The sequence below is a fragment of the Homo sapiens genome, chromosome 1 (assembly GCF_000001405.40).
Source record: "Homo sapiens chromosome 1, GRCh38.p14 Primary Assembly".
In the NCBI taxonomy this organism is placed as follows: domain Eukaryota; kingdom Metazoa; phylum Chordata; class Mammalia; order Primates; family Hominidae; genus Homo; species Homo sapiens.
Window position 1 is genome coordinate 172,777,417 of NC_000001.11, and position 6,258 is coordinate 172,783,674.

Consider the following 6,258-nt stretch of genomic DNA (forward strand, 5'->3'; position numbering starts at 1 on the left):
GGTTAAGCATTAAAAGATCTGAAATTGGGAGGAAGAAAGAAAGAGAGTAATGTATCTGGAGCCATGACAAAGAAAGTTTTTAAAACAATTGCTTATTTATCCTTAATTCATCGTAATAACCATTACTGTTCTCAAACCTAAAAAAAAATCACTTCTGCCATTTTGCTTCCTCTTCGACCTTTTATCTTCCTTTTCTTGTACTCATATGTAAAATATTTCTGTGACAACTTGAGTAGTAGTTAATCTGCTTATGCCATTCTGGACAGACACAAAGAGATGGTGTCCCCATGTGTGGGAATTACTCCCAGTGCAGCGGGAATGAAATTAAACTACAATCTCAAGTCCTCTGAAGAAGTCCCTGAAGAGTACAGCCCCTGGTTAAAATCCATGTGTGAATTTTCAGGCCTGACCATAGGCAATTACAATGGCTTTACCTGGCAGGCCTCGTGGGGAAATCTGCCTTTCCCTCACCAGACTTTATAGCCAATGCACTGCAGCCTCAGGAGAGAGTGGCAGTCAAGGACTCAGGTCCCCCAGCCAATCATGCTCTTTCACATATTTACCTTCGTAACCCAGGAACCTTCATTCCAAGGTCTCTGACACCTCCGACAGAGACCTTCTTCAGGTTCCTCTGCTGAAACCTTCTTATGCAGGAGGAGGGAAAAACCTTGAAGACATGTTTCCACATTCTGACCCAATACTCAGGAATTTTCCCCACCCCTAGCCCTTCTCCTCTTCTCTCCCCAGCACTCCTCTTCTCATATCTATGATGATCCATCTGACTCTTAATTGGTGTGCCTTTCTTTTGGGAAAAATGGAACAGGGGGAGTCAGTGCCTCCGCCAGTTTTAGCCTCTTGCTTATGCCATTGCAGCATGTGATTAAAAGCTGAATCCTGTCATTTTTACTGGTTGTTTTAATAGGCTGCGCTGATACCTGGCCACTCAGCTCTCTCTCTCTCTCTCTCTCTCTCTCTCTCTCTCTCTCTCTCAGCTGAGTTCCTGACAGTCCCAGCTTTGCCTCTTACTGGTTGTGTGACCTTAGGCAAATCATTTAATGTTTCTCAGCTTCATTTTATCATATGTAAATTTAGGACAATAATACTCGATGAAGTTCTTATGTGGATTATATGAGGTGCTTGTGAAAAATACCTTACCTGGTAAATTGCGACTCAATTCTTAATCAGAAACAGAAACAGAAACAGTGGGTCACTAACCTAGGGTCCTCTAGGGAGAACTTGCACTTACATATTTTCCTGCAATGCCTTGGATTACATCATATGGCAAAGTCCTTTTATGTGTAAATGCCAGCTGTGAGGGTAATCACTTGTTAGTGTCTGTTTGCTTTCTTTGTTACCATTTTCTGGTTAATTCTGGAAGGAAAAATTTTTTGTCTTCTTGTCAGTATTTTTCTTTTATTTTGATGCTTTTTGTCAGATATGTTTCCCCCTAAGAGCTGACATTGATGTTGTATGGTGCATATGTTAATGTGGCAATGAGATATTGCAGTGAGATTACAGCTCCACAAGGGGGTACATAAATGACAGTCTCCAAACAGAAACCAGCATAGCTGCCAAAAAGGAAAGCTTCAAGATTCTCGGCTTCATTTTTCAGTTATGTTATTAGAATAAACACGTTCTCTAATGGCAGAAGGTACCTCAGATAAGGATCTATAGGTGATGTAGGATATCACTCAGCTACTCACAGACCTAAACAAGGCAACATTTCCCAAGATTATAATTTATCTGTGAAAGGTACTAGAAATGACTATATTTATCGCCCCATATCATCCCTTACAATCTCAGATGTCAGGGAAAAGCCCAAGGTCAGAAACCCAGATTGTGCTCATGTCTGTCAGGCAGAAGCTCTAGCATGAGCTCATAGGTATCTAGAAAACTTTGCGCAAACTGGGACAGAGCAGGCTACTTTCCTTTAAGCCAAACATCGTAAGGAGGCTTTTTGCTAAGTTTATTGTTAGATTTATTCCATTTTGAGTTTATTTTTAAGTGGTATTGCATTTGAGGTTGGTGCTAAGTAGCTCTCAATAATTCTCTGATCTTGATGTTGGCTTGCCTCACCATATGAAGACTGAGTCTGAGAAGAGGGAGATCTCAGTTCATGGGTCAGAAAATTGACTATTTCCATCACATGTGAGACATTTAGGTTCTGAGGGAAGAGGTGAACTTTTTCCAGTTCTGGCAAAGTTTTATTTAGACCAATGAGCTCATGCTAGAGAGTCTTTCGTGACAAATATGAGTACCATCTGGATTCCTGACATTAGCCTTGTTCCTCATCTCTGAGATAACCATCAAAACAAGCAAGTGCTACCCAGAAGTGTTTGTGTGTGCGTATGTGTGCGTTGGGGAAGGGGGAGTAGGATTCCTGACACATGTTCCATATGATTTCTCATAAGGTCCTCAAGAGAGCTCAGTCCCAGTTGCCCACACTGATAACCCACTTGTTAATATATCCCTTATCGGCTTTTTGCTTTTCCTTGTTTCATTTTTCCCACTTTCTCACCTGTGTTTCTTAGATCACCTCTCAAAATAAACTGCTTGTACCCAACTGCTTGTTTCAGTGTCTGCTTTTGGGTAACTCTAAGACAGAACCATTTAAAAAAATCCTTGAAGGATGAAAATCTAACACAAAAATGTGTTGATACTATATGTACAATCCAGATTTTGGTAAGATAAAAAATAATAAATAAGCCAAAAACCAAATAAATTCTACATGGTTGTCAAAAACATACATACATACACACACACACACACACACACACACACACACACACACTTCCCCCACTCAGATTGGTCTAAACAAGTGGAAGATAACTTGAGTAAAAGCAAACAACTTGATGAGACACAAAGTCAGAAAATAGAAAATTTTCTTCATATCATAAACAAAATGAAGGTGACAAATTAGAAGTTGTGGACCACAGTCAAGAATGACTGAGAAAAAAAATAAAATGCACTGGAGTCTGGGGAGATTTACTACAACCAGTATTTAATGTGACCAGAATGAGCTAACTCAACTAGAGTTGTATAGTGACATACCATGTATAATGGTATGTATAATGACATAATGTATGTGCTTTGTAAACTGTAAGCTGAAATTCATACTCAAGGTATTATTTTCAATAGATTGCCTAAAGGAATGTCTGCAAATGAAGTGGATGGATGTGAAGGAAAAATACTGCATTAAGATTTTTATCTTAGTTTTTCTGAACTTTTTGACATTTGAGAAATCAATTAATTTCTCTCTGTATGTTTTTCCCTGCCCTAACCCATAAAATCAATATGAACTCACATTTGAAAATGGATATGAAAAGCCGGAAAAATATAAAATTATGTGCAAATGTTAGAGTTTTTTATTTAAAAAGATGTGGGATATGATAGTTAATGTTTACTACTCTCAACTTCTTTTGGGCCTTAAGGATGTGGTGTATACCCCAAGTATTACCAAACCTAGAATTCTCTGAGTGACATTTGTCTTTCAAAAGGTACACACACCTTAGTTTATTCATTCACTTATAATTCTTGTACAATTAAATGTCTTTTTTGAAGATGCTGATGTCAGATTCCCTCTTCTTACAGTAAGCCCCAAACACAAGCATTTTTCCATCTCAAGATAGCTTAACAAACCAAGAGCTTGTACTCCTGAAAATCTGACAAAGTTCTGAGTTAGCCCAAGTGCTCTGAGGAAGGTGTACTCTTGATGGCATCTATTTCTCCTAGATTTTTCTAGGGGATCTTTGATTGTCGATTCCTATAATATGCCCAGAATTGTGAAATGTATAATGGACTATGCAACAGAATTATGAAGGAGTTTCTTCCTTCAAGGAGCTTATAGTCTAGCCGGGAAAGTAGGGAGCAGAAGTACATCTATGCAATTCATAGAAAAAAACACAAGTCGGTAGTAATTTATGCACCTATTGAGACTCTTTTATAGGCATACTATAGGTGTTTTGGAGGAAAAATAATCCAACATGACTTTGAATACTACATAATAGTAATTCTGTCAATTCTGGGGGCCAGAACTGTTCGTACTATACAGTGGTATCCTTTCAAATTATTTTACCAATCATTTGGTAGAGTGAGAGGTGAATGTCACAAATAATTCCCCTTCTTCATTCTTCTTTTTCCTCCACACCCCAGTGAAGAAAAACCCCTTCTATCTCTAAAACTCTCATGAAAAACCAGCAAAACAGTCCAGTGATACTGCTAAGATTAGTAACCCAACCCCTGCTTGACTGGTACACTTCTAAACCACATATGTCAAGGTCAATTTTGCATATAGGTCAGTGTGTGGTTTCCTGCACTGTGTCCATTCCGGGAAGAGAAAGCAGGACTGTTTTCTCATGAAGAAACGTGCTCACTGAAGAAAACACTAGGTAGAGATGATGGGATGAGAAAACACAGGAAAACCTGAAGGTCATCTTATTCATACAAAAATCCTCCCATTTGGTCACTGTCCCTTCCAGGCCATGGCTCTTGTTCTGAGTGAGCTCTTCCTTTTATAGATGAACAGGCTCCAGGCCAGAGTAAGGATGGTGTGACAAAGTGAGGTAAGTGAGGAGACAGCGGTCATCCTGTGTGGGTTGAATGCCCATTTCTTAGTGGTTCTTTATTTTCCCAGCCTCTGGTAACCATCCTTCTACTCTCTATCTCCATAAGTTCACTTGTTTCGATTTTTAGCTCCCACCAGTAAGTGAGAACATGTGATGTTTTTCTTTCTATGCCTGGCTTATTTCACTTAGTATAATGAGCTGCAGTTCCATCCACATTGCTGCAAATGAGAGGATGTCATCCTTTTTTTATGGCTAAATAGTACTACATTGTGTATAAGTACCACATTTTAATCCATTCATCTGTTGATGGACATTTAAGTTGCTTCCAAAATTTTGCCTATTGTGAACAGTGCTGCAACAAACATGGGAATGCAGATATCTTTTCAGTATACTGACTTCCTTTCTTTTGGGTATATACCCAGCAGTGGGATTGTTGGATAATATGGTAGTTCTAGTTTTAGTTTTTGAGGAACTTCTAAACTGTTCTCCATAGTGGTTGTACTAATTTACATTCCCACCAACAGTGTAGGAAGGTTCCCTTTCTCCACATCTTCATCAGCATTTGTTATTGCCTGTCTTTGGATATAAGGCATTTTAACTGGGGTGAAATGATATCTCATTGTAGTTTTGATTTGCATTTCTCTGATGATCAATGATGTTGGGTACCTTTCCATACACCTCTTTGACATTTGCAAGTTTTCTTTTAGAAATGTCCATTCAAATCTTTTGCCCATTTTTAAATCAGATTATTAGATTTTTTTTCTTATGGAGTTGTTTCAGCTCCTTATATATTTTGGTTGTTAATCAAATGGGTAGTTTGCAAGTATCTTCTCCTATTCTGTGGGTTGTCTCTTCACTTTGTTTATTGTTTTCTTTGCTGTACAGAAGCTTTTTAACTTGATGGGATCCCGTTTGTCCATGTTTGCTTTGGTTGCCTGTGTGTGGGATATTACCCAAGAAATTTCCACCCAGACCGATGTCCGGGAGAGTTTCTCCAATGTTTTTTTGTAGTAGTTTCATAGTTTGAGGTCTTTGATTAAAGTCTTTAATCCATTTTGATCTGATTTTTTACATGGCAAGAGATATGGGTCAAGTTTCATTATTTTGCATATGAGTATTTAGTTTTTCCAGTCCCTATTGAAGAGACTGTCTTTCCCTCAGTGTATATTCTTGGCATATTTGTCAAAAATGAGTTCATTGTAGGTGTGTGGATTAGTTTTTGAGTTCTCTATTCTGTTCATTGTCTATGTGTCTGTTTTCATGCCATTACCATGCTGTTTTGGTTACTATAGCTCTGTAATATAATTTGAAGTCAGATAATGTGATTCGTCCAGTTTTGTTCCTTTTGCTTAGGATGGTTTCGACTATTCTGGGTCTTTTGTGGTTCCATATAAATTTGAGGATTTTTTTCTATTTCTGTGAAGAATGTCATTGATATTTTGATAGAGGTTGAATTGAAACTTTAGATTACTTTGGATAGTATGGACATTTTAACAATATTGATTCTTCCAGTCCACGAAAATGGAATATCTTTCCATAGTCCTCTTCAATTTCTTTCATCTGTATTTTATAGTTTTTATTATAGCAATCTTTCACTTCTTTGGTTAATTCCTAGGTATTTAATCTTATGTGTGGCTGTTGTAAATGGGATTACTTTTTAAATTTCTTTTTTAGATTGTTCACTGTCAGCATA

The 6,258-nt window shown here is 37.9% G+C and overlaps 1 annotated feature.

Moving 5' to 3' along the window:
• Positions 4,396–4,465: an enhancer, noted in NCBI's record as "active region_2095". NCBI's record gives its function as "activates an Ori minimal core promoter by ATAC-STARR-seq in GM12878 lymphoblastoid cells {active_cell/tissue: GM12878}" and the evidence as "EXISTENCE:reporter gene assay evidence [ECO:0000049][PMID:35858748]".